Below are 16,275 nucleotides of genomic sequence, written 5' to 3' on the forward strand. Positions count from 1 at the left end.
AGAATTCCAGGGACTGAGTCTAGGAATATGGTAACATTTAGGTGTTTGGGAAATGAAGAGAAACCATTAAAGGAGTTGCAAACGGAGTGGCTATTGAGATGGGGGGAAAATGGGTAAGTATAGAGTCTTAGCACCAAAGGAAAAAAAATGTTTCAATGATGAGGAAGTAATCATTTGTGTCAAGTGCTTCTAATATGTCAAGTAAGATGAGGACTGAGAATACTCCAATGGACTTAGTAGTTTGGAGACCATTGTGTGACATTCACAGTATCAGTCTTAGTGGAGTGTTGGGGGCAGAAGACTGATTCAAGTGACTTCAAGAGAGAATGAAAGGAGAGAGATTGGATAAAAACATAAAGACAATTTGTTCTACTCGTTTTCTTGTAAAGAAGATCTGAGAAACGGAGTGGCAGCTGGAAGAGGTGTGTGTCAGGAGAGGTTCTTTTTCTTTGAGATGTGAAAAATCACAGCATGTTCGTATGCTAATGGGAAATATCTAGGAAACAAATAAACAGGGAGATTAACGATACCAGAAAGAAGGAAACAGCCCAAGAACCAAATCTTGAATAGGGAGAAGAGCTGAGGTCTGGTGGCCAGTAGGAGGGGCTGGCCTTAGACAGGCATGTGGAAGAGGCCAGTGAGCCCAACAGCACAGATTCGGGAAGGTGTGGAAATTGGAACATGTAGACATCTTTTGATTACTTCTGTGTGAAACAGGAAGCAAAATCATTAGCTGAGAGTGGAGAGCAGAAGAGGAGGGAAAGGGATACTAGAATTTCGAGGAGGATTTGTTCATAGTAAAGGAAGGGAAAAACTAGACCGGGCAGTTCTGGCAGCCCTAGGGGTTATTAATTAAGGTGTGATGTTCAGCATGCGTGTTTTCTCCCGCCACATTGAACTGCACAGGAACAAGCAGAGAGTGTAATTTAATCCAGGTTGGGGTCTTCCAGAGGAAAATAATGAAGAGAGAGAGGGTGAACTAGTTGATGGAATGCAATAAAGTGATGATAATGATGGTCCAAGGAGTCTAGGCTGGGTAGAGAGTAAACCAAGAACCTTGAGGAGAGGAGGGACAGTGAAAAGATGATAGGAAAGTGTGGGTCTCGGTGGGGAAGAGATGCAGAGAGCTTGAGGAGGGAGGAGCACATTACATCATTATCAACTATTACCACCTCTGCCTGAATTCATTTACAGGCATTTGTTACATTGAATTAAATATTTTTTTAGAGACAGGCTCTCATCATGTTTTCCAGGCTGGTCTCAAACCCCTGGGCTCAAGTTATCCTCCTGCCTCAGCCTCCCAAGTGGCTGGGACTATAGATGCATGCCACTGCAAAAACTGGATTCAATTTTAATGGATTAATACTGCCGGCAAAGTAACATTGTATGCTAGTTTCCTGGCACTGCCATAGCTGGGTGGCTGAAACAACAGAAATTTATTGTTTGAGTTCTGGAGGCTAAAAGTCTTGAATGAAAATGCTGACAGGGTTGATTCCTTCTGACCATTTTAAGAGAATCTGTTCCAGGCTTCCCTCTCAGCTTCTGGTAGCCTCGGACATCCATGACTTGTGGATGGCATTCTCCCCATGTCTTCACAGTCTTCCCTCTATGCATGTTTGTCTCTGTGTCCAAATTTCTCCTTTTTATAAGGAGAGCAGTCATGACAGGTTAGGGCCCACCCTAATAACCTCATTTTAACTTGGTTAACTCTGTAAAGGCTCTATATCCAAATAAGATCACATTCTGAGGTGCTGGGAGCTTAGTCTTCAACATGTCTGTTTTGAGGCACACAGTTCAACCCATAACACAGAGTATCATAAGTTATAAATACATGCTGAGAAAACCCACAGGAAAATTGTACTAGCAGAGTACCTTAAATTGAGAGTGACCAAACTTGAACTTAAAAAAAAAAAAAAAAAAAAGCTTTCAGTTGAGAAGGTGATGTTCATTGGAAAAGTCTCCAAGTCATTCATTACCCTTCATTACTTGAGGGCAATTAGTAGGTAGGGGTGCAAGACTGAGAAGTGAGAGGAAGCTAATAAAGTTACCTGCATAGTGGTCCAGACAGGAGCCCTGGGGAAAAGCCACCTAAAGACCTTTAGCCAGGCTCTCCCAGCCAGGAACCAAAAAACTTCTCCACCAGGGCCTGAAACACCGTGTACTTGGCACTGTATGAAAGAAGCTGGTCATACCAAGAGGATGGTCCTATCGGTCATGAAACAATAGGACTCGAATTCTCCCAACTTCACGAAACACGATGGTAACCACTGGACCATGGCAAACTGTGCAAACCTTCAACACAAGACACTTCTCTCTCAGACCCGAAGCACCTGGCAAACCAAGTGCATTCTACAAGGTGAGCAATAGATCCTCAATGACTTTTTTGAAAGTGTATGGGAAGTGGATGCCCCATGCCTGGAGCCTCAGTTGGGAAGCTTTTTGCATTTTGCCAGAAGATTTATCAAAATAAGGGTCTAAGTGTGAAAACCTGGGTAAGCTGACTTCTAGAAGAATGATTATCAAACTGCACCAGCGAGACCGTTGATTGGCTGCCATTTGACCTAATGGAAACTGATCCTGCTTTAATTCATAGACATGAGGACTAGCAGTAAGTGGGCAATTAGGTCACTAAATTTCAGTCTTCATAAATTCAAGTTAGCACATTACTAGTTTATTGAGCACACAAATTCATTGCTTCTGCTAACAATTCTGATTCCTACACAATGCTTGGCAACATTGCCAGTTCCAACACAAGCTCACAAACAAACAGCTGGAATTTCCAAGTCACAGCATGAATCCTTTGTTGTCAGCATATTATCAGTGTTATCTTGGGTTGGTTGGTTGTGGTTTTTAAATTGCTGCTGTCCTTGTTTTTCAATTACACATTACTGTGGTTTAGTTACAACATTATTAATTTAGTTTGTTGTCATTGTTTGGGGAACCCTGCTGTGTGAATGGTGCATATTGGCACCAACAGTATTTTTCACTAAACTTTAAGACATGTATATATTGATACTTAAATATGCATCGTCCAGACCATTATTCCAAAGCAAATTTTGTATACATTTATAATATAAACCTATTGTGTGAACATATATGCTATATATTTATATTCCCCCAAGTTTGCTTGTACAATGACATTTTATTGGTGATAAATTTGTGTTCTTTATATAATTTCCAACACGTCATCAAGTTAGTGTAATAAAATTACTAGATTATTTTTACAGGTATAGAGCATTGTTTTATGTGTATGTGGCTCTAGTCTTTTCTTACAAAATAAATAGTAGGTTGTCACCAATAGATCAGCTACATTTTCTTCTTTTGTTCCCCAGATTATGAAAGGCTACACCTTACTTTTCTAGGTTTGTTCCCTGCAAGGATTGGTACCTGAGGGATCTGAGAATCAGAGTCTTTGGCACTTGTGTTAGATGACATCTTAACAAAAGTTGTTGGGATAGGGATGTACAATAAAGTGAAGCAGTTAAGAGCAAGGGCCAGGTCAAATCCTGAACACATGTGCAGGTGATGTGACTACCAAAACCTTTTCAGCTTCTTTGAGTTTCAGCATCCTCATCTAGACATTGAAGAAATGTATCTATCTCACAAGGTTGCTACCATATTAAATGAGACAGAACATATAAAATTCTCAGCACAGGGAGTTATACATTGCTTTGGCCCATTCTTCAATGGCTAAGGCAAATCATATTGCTGCTTGTGAGTTTAACAAGGTGGAAATGTATAACTGCCCTGCAGAAAAGGTACCATAAGAAAAATGGAATATTTGGTGAGCGGTAATACTATCAACATTGCTGTTACTAACTCAAAGATAAAATGAGGCAGGTAACCTACCAAATGGTTCATCCTAGGTTTATTCATGAATGGAAAGGTTTATGTTTGAGGTCGCTAACTGAAGGTATAATCTTTAGCCTTATTTTATTTAGTGTAGTGGCTGACCTAGCTTAACTAGTAGAGTCAAAAAACCCCTGCCGGCCGGGCGCGGTGGCTCACGCCTGTAATCCCAGCACTTTGGGAGGCCGAGGCGGGTGGATCATGAGGTCAGGAGATCGAGACCATCCTGGCTAACAAGGTGAAACCCCGTCTCTACTAAAAATACAAAAAATTAGCCGGGCGCGGTGGCGGGCGCCTGTAGTCCCAGCTACTCGGGAGGCTGAGGCAGGAGAATGGCGTGAACCCGGGAAGCGGAGCTTGCAGTGAGCCGAGATTGCGCCACTGCAGTCCGCAGTCCGGCCTGGGCGACAGAGCGAGACTCCGTCTCAAAAAAAAAAAAAAAAAAAAAAAAAAAAAACCCTGCCAATGCAATCTAAGCTATATTTAAGAATAATCTCTAAGTAGATTCTACATTCAAGGTAACTATCCATGTTTCTCTTATATACAAATCCCAGTAAGAGACAGCTCCAGCTACCATTGCACAAGTACTCAGAGCAGTGAGTCCAGGTTGTCCTCATTGCTACGACTTCATTTTCAGCCATATTCTCCCCATGCCAAAGCTGCTCCAACATCTTAACAATGACAACATGCTCCACAGCACCCATCCCATGCTGCTCTTCCCAGCCCCCTTTCTTTCTAACCTTGCTTCCTGAAGCACCAGGTCTTGCTGAACCACAGTGGTTCCTAAGGAATAAGTAACTAAATGATTCTTGGGAGAGACATTTTTAAAGTCCATACAATTTCCCGAGAGCTAAATTGACATGATAGAATAATGTCCACTTTCAAGGGTTTTATTTTTACGTTCACCAGGGACCTACAGTGAACCAGACTGGCAGCTAGACACTGAGAAGAGAATGCATACTTTTCAGTAATTCACAGTGGGAAAGACAGTGGCCAGTAACCCAGCAGGAGGATGTGTGAATGGAAAAGCTGTAAGAGGCCACATTGAGCCAGGGAACGGACCCATGTCTAGTGCAAATAAAAATTTGAGCTTAAATCACTTATCAAATGGAGAAACACACCCACCCATGATGACCCACTTTCCCCAAAGGCCACTCAGGTGAAGTCTCGCATTTAAAGAGTGATAACTCAGAGCTCTGACATTTTGCAGGCTTGGCTGAATAACGAGAATAAATAGATCAAATTCCTAAGAATTCACAACTAGTCTTGGCAAACCAAGTAAGTGTCACTTGGACACTCTAAGTCTAGTCTAGTCTTGACCCTACCTTCAGGAAGCCAAGATAGTGCTGACCCCCTTGAAAGTATAAAATTGAGGCTGAGTGAGATAAAACATAAAGTATAAAATTGAGGCCCAGATAGATTATAAAACATAAAGTATAAAATTGAGAACCAGTCAAAGGACATGAGTAGACACTTTTCAAAAGAAGACATACATGTGGCTAACAATCATATGAAAACAAGCTCAACATCACTGATCATTACAGAAATGCAAATCAAAACCACAATGAGATACCATCTCACACCAGTCACAGTGGCCATCACTAAAAAGTCAAAAAATAACAGATGCTGGCAAGGTTGCACAGAAAAGGAACGTTTTTATACTGTTGGTGGGAGTGTAAATTAGTTCAACCATTGTGGAAGACAGTATGGCAATTCTCCAAAGACCTAAACACAGAAATACCATTCCACCTAACAGTCGCATTACTGGGTATATTCCCAAAGGAATATAAATCATTCTATCATAAAGCCACATGCAGGCATACTTTCATTGCAGCACTACTCATAATAGTGAAGACATGGAATCAACCTAAATGACCATCAATGGTAGACTGGATAAAGAAAATCTGGTACATATACACCATAGAATACTATGCAGACATAAGAAGGAACAAGATCATGTCATTTGCAGGAAAACAAATGGAGCTGGAAGCCATTATCTTTAGTAAACTAATGCAGGAACTGAAAAACCAAATACCACCTGTTCTCACTTATAAGTGGGAGCTAAATGGTGAGAACACATGGACACAGAGGGGAACAACACACACAGAGGCCTAACAGAGGGTGAAGGGTGGGAGGAGGGAGAGGATCAGGAAAAAAAATGAATGGGTACTAGGCTTAATACCTGGGAGACGAAAAAATCTGTACAACAAAGCCCCGTGACATGAGTTTACCTATATAATAAACCTGCATATATACCCCTGAACTTAAAAGTTGAATTATAAATAAACAAATAAATAATATAGATAGATAGATAACCCAAAAAAAAACGAGGCCCAGTGAGATAAAACACACATAGGTGATGAGTGAAGCTCTGGCCTCCTGTGTCCATGTATAAACTTCCCCAAACTTCAGCCATTCCCATGCTACCTTCAGAAATCATGCCATAGCTATATGCCACCTGCTGTATTATTTATTTCATCATTTTAATATTGAATAACTCTTTTTAAACTGAACTTAACCTTAACCTTCTCCTAAGCAATAACACTGTGAATTCACAAGTTTGATGTGCTAATTATTTTGCTGTTATCCATTAAAATAACTATTAAAATATTTTTAAATATGTTCATATACCCTTAAGATCACTGATGTCCCACCACTGATGCCCATATTGAGCTCAAGATGGTAAATTCTGCCACCTGCTGCCCCCACAGAGTGTGGCTCACCTGCATCATTTTAATGATGCTAATTCCTTTATCATTTCTCCCATTCTTCCTTTTTCCATAACCCACACTCAAACCAGTGTCTAATTTTTACTCAGAGCTGCTTCGGGAAATAATTTAACAGCTCTGCCTTCTCTGTATTTCTTTTTTGGATGTTTACCTCATCTGAACATCCACACCTATGACAGGAGACTCCCCACGTTATTAGTCCCTTATCACAAAATTGATATCAGGAATTCACTTTTCCAGCCTCTCTTTCAGCTAGGGCACAGCCGTTTAATCCAGACTCTGTTCATCTGATGATCCCACATGAGATTTTGAATTCAATTGTTGGTTACACAAAGAAGGGCCACCTGGAGTTCATCTTTAGAAGGCAGTAGATATATTCAGTCCATTTCTTCATCAAGTTCACAATCCACTGTGCTCCAAATGGGTGTTTTTAGACAATTGCAATATGGTGAGATAAATATTCTAATTAGAGCACATATAGAGCACCCCATGCAGAGGTTTACAGGGAAAGTATCAGGGTAGTCATGCTTGAGTTGATTCATGAAGAAAAGAGATTCCCAAGCAGATAAGAAAGTAGGTAGCTCAATAGTGATTAACTATTATTATAATCACTCTTGCCAGATTAGAGTCAGACAGACCTGGATTCAAGTCACAGACCCATTAAAAAGGTCAGTTTGCTCACCTATAATCTTGCTCCATTGGATCTGCAAAGAATAAGTAAGATGATTTAAGTAAAGCACATACCAAAGTATCTGGCACACAGGTTCATTATAAAAGCTATTTATCTTCCCACCTCTATTTTTTTATTAGAATGCCCTCTCCACTTCCATTCTAGAAAAATCCAAGATTGGACTTTGGATTGCATTCTTGAAAAAATTATAAAATTTGGTTATTTAAATTTTACTTGAAACACTGCCTCTTCCGTGAAGCTACTATTTATCCCAAAGACACAATCTTCCCTCCTTCAAACTTCAATTTAAGCTGATCTTGACCTCTCTTGTACACACTCATACCCTTGCCACTTCATAATGCCTGGCTCGTAGGTGGTACCTGCTTGCTGAGCTGAATTAAATGCCCTCATTCTCTCCCCTGTTGCCTAGTCTTAATGCCTGCTCTTCCATTTTTTTTAAAATTCTTGCTAGCTGCCTAGCTAGCATTATGACCACTATAAGACTCTGACTTCAAAAAAAAAAAAAGTTTTCTAACTTTCTGGGCAATTAAACTACTATTATGTCTCTGATCTTGAGATTCTAGCTATGTGTTCACCATTGGCCAGTCCCTTTCCAAACTTTCCCTCCTCCCTTTTTATGATACGTATTTTCTGAGCCCCTTTATGTACCTATATGTGGTCACAGGCACTTGGCATACATCAATGAGTAGGACAGACCTCGTCCCTAGTCCTTGACTCAAAGGGCTTATCTTCCAATCTAGGAGACAGTCAATAAGCAAATAATAACGCAAAAAAATGACAACTATAGTGACGCTACAAAGGAAAAATACAGACAGTCTTGTCCTAGGCCCAAATTGTTCCTTTTCTTGCCTCACCTAACCTCTCCTCCTGCCTTTCCATCCGCTACATCCTTACCCCAATTTCTGTATGTCCAAATTCTTATCCCTTAAGGCCTATTTCCAATATTACCTTATCATGAAGTTAAGACAAGTTAGAGAAAGAAGTTTGTGCAGTGGTAAGCCTACAGATAGAGTTTTACATACATCTTCTCACCCTTACTATAAGTTCCTGAGGGCATGGCCTCAAATACTGCATTGTAATGGTTACAATGCCACCTAACACGAAGCCAGGAAAGGAAGTAATCAGTAACTTCATGAAATGAACAAAGAATCCTCTTCTTGTCCTGACAGACTGCACTTGAAGAGCTCTGGCTACATAGAGAGATGCGTCATCCACACTCCTTGTAGGAAATCCTGTTGTTTCTGTCTTCATTCAGGCACATAACTTTACCCCAAAGGTAAGGACGCACTCACCAGGCAGCAATGCCAAGAACTTAGAACACTCTACATCGTGATCCCCATGGTAACTAAGGCTGTGCACAAAGGAATCGGCCATGAGAGTATCTTAATCCAGAAAGGCTGAGTGTTTTTTCTCATATTGATAATTCTGTTATTATGGCCATAATAAATGGTTATCTGGATCACAAGCTGCTGAACGGTATTCTAAATTTCTAAACCCATCATTCTATCATATATTTACCATGAATGTGAAGTATGATTCACTAATAGAACATCTGAGGTTGTTGATGGGAGCCTTGGATCAAGTCAACACTTACTACTGTTGGTAAATATGCAGAAACTTACAGAACATTAGACTGGAAGGTACACACACTTACTCCTCTGTTCTCACAAAGCTTGCTACTTTCCACCATATATTTGGTTTTTATCTTAGGTGCCATGCATAAACAATGCCATGTGCACTGCTGTGAGGAGTGGTGAATATGCACGCTTCTGTTTGTTTGGGGAATGTAAGAGCTGTGGGGTTTTAATTACCCTGAGCTGGTAGAGATCAATTAGAAAAACAAACATATTAGTGAAATACCAAGAGCTCTTTTGCTGCCAGAGGATTGTAACTTGAAATCATAACACCCTAGAGCTTTAGAGCTGAAAGAAATGGCAGAGATCAGGAAGGCCAAGCCCTTCATTTTGCAGATAGGAAAGCTGAACCCCAAAGAGGCAAAATGCTTGCAGAGTGGTTAAGAGCTTGTGTTCTGCTATCAGACAGACTATACTCAAATTTCAGGTCCATGATGTACCAAACTACCTTGGCAAGTCACTCGACTTTTTTTTACCTCAGTGTCCTCATCTGAAAAATGGGGACAATGATAGACTTGTAAGGAATAGTGAGATAATGGACATAAGGTGCTTAGCACAGTACCTGACCTAGTAAACAATGTGCTAACTTTTATCATTATTATTATCATCATTGCAATCTAAAGTTACATGGATTATTAGTGACATTACTTTTGCTCAAACAAATACTCCCTTACACATATCTGGGTTTATTTTTATAGAAAACAAAAAATATGTCTTGTCCCAATAATCATATGGTCCAAATTAGTTTCCAAATCAAGTTTTACATTAATTCTACATTTTCAAGTGTTTATTGAATCTTCTAGTAATCACATATTCTACGTTGTCACAGCTCCAGAAACTTAGTTCACTTAGCATAAATACATTCTCGTCCTAAATGTGTAGTCGCTCAAGAACTATTAGTGACTTACCAAGATGTTTTACTTTGGAGAGTGCAGAATCTCTTAGGATATTTGACTAGAATTTTTTTGCCCTTTCCAAAGGCCCCAAATTAACAAAACACAGTGCTTTTTGTGGCTTGATCTAAATTGATAATTTATAATCCATGACTCAGAAAAAGATTACTTCAGAGCATGACATGCAAATGCAGAATTCACGGCTCTTTATTTAAAATCAAGGCCCTTTTTCCTTGACTGCATTTACTATAATTAGAAGAGTGGACATTCTCACAAGGGGTTGCAAACACACCATTGGCGATGTCATATGTGAGATGCCAGAGAAAAGATTAATACTTTTCTGCTGAGTGGCTTGAAGCTATTGGTCCCCAACACAGCTTGCTGTCTAAATAAATTGAGGTTCCAGAGAAGGGAAATACCAGGAATTTGAATGATGAATAATACTAAAGAAAAGAGAAGGCTCTACTCATACCACATTCTCCACGGGGTGGTAGGTGATAAGAATAGAAGGACCATGTGACCATCTAGTCTAGAATAATATGGTATTTTCAGGGCCAGATGCAAGTTTTGTGGGCCCAAAGTTTACATAATTGGTGGGGTTGGGGGCTCTTTAAGTTAAAAAAAATGCAAAATTATAAATATGAATGAGGCCCCTCCCGAGGTCTTAGAAAAGGCCCTAGCAAGTGAGGGGTCCCTGAAGGTTTTTTTTTTTTCTGAGACAAGGTTTCACTCTTGTTGCCTAGGCTGGAGTGCAATGGTGCAATCTCGGCTCACCACAACTTCCACTTCCTGGGTTCAAGCAATTCTCCTGCCTCAGCCTCCCTAGTAGCTGGGATTACAGGCAACTGCCACCACGCCTGGCTACTTTTTGTATTTTTAGTAGAGATTGGTTTCACTATGTTGGCCCCAGGCTTGTCTCAAACTCCTGACCTCAGGTGATACACCCACTTGGCCTCCCAAAGTGCTGGGATTACAAGAGTGAGCCACCATGCCCGGCCAGGGACCCTGAAGCTTAAACTTAATAACTGCATGATGAATTCACTCTTTGATGCTTGATAGTTTGTAGACCATTTTCACATAGGTCAAATTTAACAGATTAATTAAGAACCTAAGTTATAGCAGAACCCTGGTTTGACCTGGGTGGACGCTTTATAGCTGTATTACCTTAGGCAAGTGTCGTAAACTCTCTGATCCTCAGTTTCCCCAACTATAAAGAGAAAAAATAATATCTCCCTTACCTAGTCATGCAATTTTCTTAAAAATCCATGTAATGCACTTTAAGAGGTACCCAGCATATGGTAAGAGTTCAATAAATAGTATTATTTTTGCTATTTCCTACACTATCTCATTCAATCCACATCTTAACCCTGTGAATATTTGTTCAGAAAATAAGATGTTTCCTCTTTAAGGTCAACCCTTGATTATCTGGGAATTATTATTCTTTGAGTCCATGTCTATTGTTTCTCTTTTCTAATGCCTACCTTGACTTCTTGTCCATTTTATCCCAGAATGAGTATAGGACAGGACAAAAATTGAAATTCAAATCAGTTCATCAACAGCCCTGGACGAAGAAAAATATATTAGCAGTCCAACCACTTACTCCCCTTCCCCAAGACCCGCTGTTCTGTGTCAGCTGTTGACTCCCCATAATGGCCATGACCGTGGGCAGTGGAGACCATGGGGACACGGGTGTGCAATGATGGTCCTGGACTAGCCACTAACTCTTGAGGACAGACACTTCACCTGCTTCCTCTTCCTTCTGTCAGATTAAGAAGATGGAACGTAAGTTTAAGGGCATACTTGGTTCTATTCTTTCTCCTGAAAATTCAGATGATGCCTTCGATTTTATAAAGAAGAGGATCATTTTTTTCATGGAGAAGAACAGCCATACTTCCTGGGAGAGAGAACCTCACAGTCTTGACTGCAGGCGGGAACAATCTTCAGCTCTGACATCAAATACCGGGGACTGGAATTCAGGTTCCACTACTTACTATTGGTGGGACCTCGGGCAAGTTCTTTTCAGAAGACACTACCAGCACCTACCTCACAGGGTTACTATGAGGATCAAATAAAATGTGCAGGTAAAGCACATAATATAGTGCATGGGAGGTTATATATGTTTAATTCATGCCACGGATTATGACAATAATAAATGTTATAATTACATAAAATTATTTAAATTACTCCATATTATAAAAAATAAAAATTGTTATTATTTCCTAAAGCTATGAAAGTCCTGAGTAATAATATATTGCCATCACCTTTTAACAACTGTCAGACAGTAATCTCAACCAAACTTTGAAACAAGAATGTAACAGAGAGTTAAGGAAGAAGCCCCAAAGAAACCCAAAGTATTCAGTTGTTTCTTACATTAAAAAGGGTTGGAACATATTTAAAGGAGTGAAGGGCCTTCAGAGGGCATGAAGGTTTCGTCTTACGTGCCAAGACGAGTTCTGGCCACCTGGTACTCTCTCAAAGGGAGAATGTTGAGGCTACATCCAGGCGTAGCAGGAAGAAGTGCTGTGATCTATTAGTAATGTCTGCCACAGACATGCAGCACAGGGTCTAGTGACATTTACTATATAACAGCTATCTCTGGATTCTCTTCTGGATCTCAGATCATTTTTCCAGGCTCCGCCACTAGATAAGGTACAAGATCATTATTTTAGGTAACCAATGACCTCAATCTTCAGAAGCAAGAAAATCTTACTATGTATTTAAATGTAGATAAATATGTATTAGTAATAAGTCTACCAAGAAATTGCTCAGGAGTGAAAGGGAACCTGTAAGTTGTGGCCTGTTTCTTTTTCTATTGCTTTATTATATACTATTTGCACTCTCTCTAATTCTGTTTAATCTCTGCAGTTCTCAGCAGTCAAAATCTTTGTGTTAATTCTCTGTTGAGCAGGAAAAGAAAAAAAAACCCTGCTGATTTCTAACATAATACTTCAAAACAGATCCTGTTTCTGTTACTTCCGCATTACATACCTAGCACTTGGAACTAGTTTTGGTATAGCATAGGTGCTCAATAAGTGCTTTTAATGAATTAATCGGATGCATTTGATGTCATCTCCCTCTTAGGATGTGAGCTTCTCTAAGACAAATATGGTGAATTACTCATTATTTGCTCCTTTGCCCTCACTCCCTAAAGTGATTGGCACAGTATCCAGTACGTGGTAAGGGCTCTATAAATATTTGTTAAATGAATGAAGTATTAATGACAGTACTGCCAACTTTCATAGCCTCAAATTTCTTCTGCTATCGGTTAAGGCCTCTTGCTACATAAATCTTTCATATCAGTGCATTACAGTATTTGAGAATATTTCATTTGAAGAACTCAGCAGAGAATATTTCCCATAAAAAGGAACAGCCCCCTATATTACCTTATTACTCACTAATTTCATAAGAAGTGCTGTTTGCTAAATTCCTCCACCCTGCTTTTGCCTTGTTTTGCACTTTCACTGCTATCTGCTTTGCTCCCAAAGCAGCCCCTCATACTTTGGAAACCACAGGGAGGCAACAATGAACCAAGACTTTTTCCTCATCAAACACTTTCCTTCTAAAGCAAAATCTTTCTTGTCCATTGTCCCACTGTAGCAAATCTCTCCCGAACTTCTGCAGTGCCCTTTTTGTCTGAAGGAATTTCCATTTACCACATCCAGTAAATACCTTTAGTGATCAGTGACTCGGCACCTGATTTTTAACACTCAATCAAGATGCGCTATGTTTCCATCATGTGATGGTTAAATTTAATTTAAAACAAAGAGATTTCTTCACACTCATTCCATTTTGCTTCAGTTTCCAAGGCAATTTGTGTTTGTGCAGAAACCAAATGTGCTCTCTGGAGACAGATGGAGACTGGTTTTTTCTACAGGTGCCTGCCTACTACCTACCTACCTGCTCATCTTTGTAGTCTTAATCTGTTTTCCTTCCACATGAACACTTTTTCTTTAGTTTAAATTTTTATCTTATTTTATTGCATTTATCTTTGTAAGCCACCTTGAATCTATTTGGAATAAGGTGGTATTACGATTCAATGAATATAAAAATAAATTCATATGCCTTATATTCATATTCATATAGCTCCTGCCCCCCTGATGCTTAGAGTCTTCCTAGAAAAATAAGACTTACTTACTTGAGGAAATATGCAAGGGAGTGATTGGCAGACAGTTGCAGGAAGGTAGACAACAGATTCCTATAGAAAGCTACATTTGAAGGGACATTCAAAATTATCCAGCGGAGGTTGTGTGTCCTATGCGGAGTCACCTGAGTACTTAGTGGCAGAATCAAAACAAGTCCTCATCTTCTAACTCCAAACCTTATGCTTGCTTGATGCCCTCAGCTCCTCAATGCTTGCCAAATAGTAAGGCAAATGTGTATAATAGTCCATTGAGGAAGATCCCTCAACAGATATGAAATAATTGGTCATTATTGAGCAAATGTCAATGTCCTCTAACGGTCACCCAAGCAAATATCTGCTCTTAATCATAAACTCTTTTTCAACATTTTTCCCCAAGTCTAAAGAAACTTAAGTAACAATCTTGATTGACTGAAATACTCTCTATCTTGATTCTGACTCAATTAAATTTAATTTTAAAAAATACTCATCTCTGGCCAGGCACAATAGCTCACGCCTGTACTCTCAGCGCTTTGGGGGGCCAAGATGGGCGGATTATCTGAGGTCAGGAGTTTGAGAACCGCCTGGCCAACAAGGTGAAACCCTGTCACTATTAAAAGTACAAAAATTAGCCAGGTAGTGGGTGTCTGTAATCCCAGCTACTCAGGAGGCTGAGGCAGGAGAATCCTTTGAACCCAGGAGGCGGAGGTTGCAGTGAGCCGAGATCACACCATTGTGCTCCAGCCTGGGTTACAAGAGTGAGACTCCATCTCAAAAAAAAAAAAAAAAAATACTCATCTCTCTCCAAGAAGTATTTGAAGCAGCTTATGGGAGGAAAAGAAAAAATTAATAAAATTGGAACTAAAAAGGTGATGCAGCCTGGAAAACATAAGTACTTTGATGTTAAGTGACGATAGCTATTATCTTTGCGCCTTAAACCTAGCTCTGAGCTTCCTGGAAATCCAATCAAAAAGGGAAACACAATTAGTTGCACAGTTCTGTCTAGCTGAAGAACAGAATCATATCTTCTCAGGAGAAAAGAATTATTCTTCTGTCAAATTCTGAGATAATTTTCTCATAAGAAACAATATATAGGGGGATGTAATAAACAATATTTTCAATAATAATTCTCAGCTAAAACAGCAAAATCTATAAAGCATTTTCAATTATAACAAAGAGATCAATGCTTTGTCTTAAATTACATGATGATTATTCTGTGGGGGACCCAGCAATCAACTTGATCAATTTAAAAAAATAGGTAATCTAGAGAAATGAGGAGATTACATGAGCCTTAAATTATCTTCTCTCAATTTTCCTCTCTTCCAGGTACTTGACAGGTTGTAGCTATTACACAATTTCAAGACCTTACTCTCTAGCAAGAACACAGAGGGCAGTTATCCTGAAAACTGTTGAGTGCAGAGTTAAAACTTTGACAACATATAAGCAGATATTAAATTTGACATTGACTCATGCAAACTATTAAAGCCTTCCTGCCTGAGTGGAAGTCCTCCACTTAGAGATTTACTAAACTTCCGAGTCAGGAGGAAAGTTTAACAGCCTCAAGTTACCTTACTGAGGGTTTACTCCATCATCTCATCTGTCAAAAGGGAATAAGAATTACCCACTCACAAAGTGGTCAGTGGAGAGTGACTGTGATAACATTTGAGCACTCTTGGCCCCTCCTTCATTCTCAATAACATGTTTGTTACAAGCATGAATAAGTTCCCATTGGTATTATAGATTCCCACTGAAGGTTGAATATTCATCATTCTAAAAACCTCACAGGCCAGGCACGGTGGCTCACGCCTGTAATCCCAGCACTTTGGGAGGCCGAGGCGGATGGATCACAAGGTCAGGAGTTCGAGACCAGCCTGGCCAATATGGTAAAATCCCGTCTCTACTAAAAATACAAAAATTAGCCGGGCGTGGTGGCATGCACCTGTACTCCCAGCTACTTGGGAGGCTGAGGCAGAAGACTCACTTGAACCCAGGAAGTGGGGCTGCACTGAGCCGAGATCATGCCACTGCACTCCAGCCTGGTTGACAGAGTAAGATTCTGTCTCAAAAAAAAAAAAAAAAAAAAAAAAAACTCACAAAACCAGCCATTAAAGGACTTATGTTCTCCCTCCTTATAACCTATGATTATATCACATTTCCCATTATGTAGTGTAGGAATAAGCAAACTACAGCCCTTGAGCCAATTCCAGAGTGCTGCCTGTTTTTGTAAATAAAGTTTTATTGGAGTACAACCATGCTCACTCACTTACACATTGTCTGTGGCTGCGTTCCTAATATAACAGCAAGCTTGGATAGTTACAAAAGAGCTGACATGGCCTGCAAAGCCTAAAATATTTACCAACTG

The 16,275-nt window shown here is 39.8% G+C and overlaps 1 long non-coding RNA gene across 8 annotated transcripts in view; it reads right to left on the reverse strand.

Moving 5' to 3' along the window:
* The window catches only part of LINC02625 (long intergenic non-protein coding RNA 2625), an 89,240-nt gene that overhangs the window by 34,168 nt on the left and 38,797 nt on the right, over positions 1-16,275 (reverse strand). For 2 of the 8 annotated variants that reach the window (XR_002957080.2, XR_001747459.2), the window contains exons 1-2: positions 8,302-8,544; positions 7,261-7,282 (exon numbers count right to left, since the gene is read on the reverse strand). The exons of 3 other annotated variants lie outside the window; for them this stretch is intronic. This is a non-coding gene — a long non-coding RNA (long intergenic non-protein coding RNA 2625). Of the gene's footprint in view, positions 1-7,260; positions 7,283-7,917; positions 8,129-8,217; positions 8,260-8,301; positions 8,545-11,277; positions 11,359-16,275 lie in introns of those variants that run through there. 3 more of the 8 variants (XR_002957081.2, XR_001747463.2, XR_001747462.2) reach the window with 3 other exon arrangements.

This window comes from Homo sapiens, chromosome 10, assembly GCF_000001405.40.
Source record: "Homo sapiens chromosome 10, GRCh38.p14 Primary Assembly".
Lineage (NCBI taxonomy): Eukaryota > Metazoa > Chordata > Mammalia > Primates > Hominidae > Homo > Homo sapiens.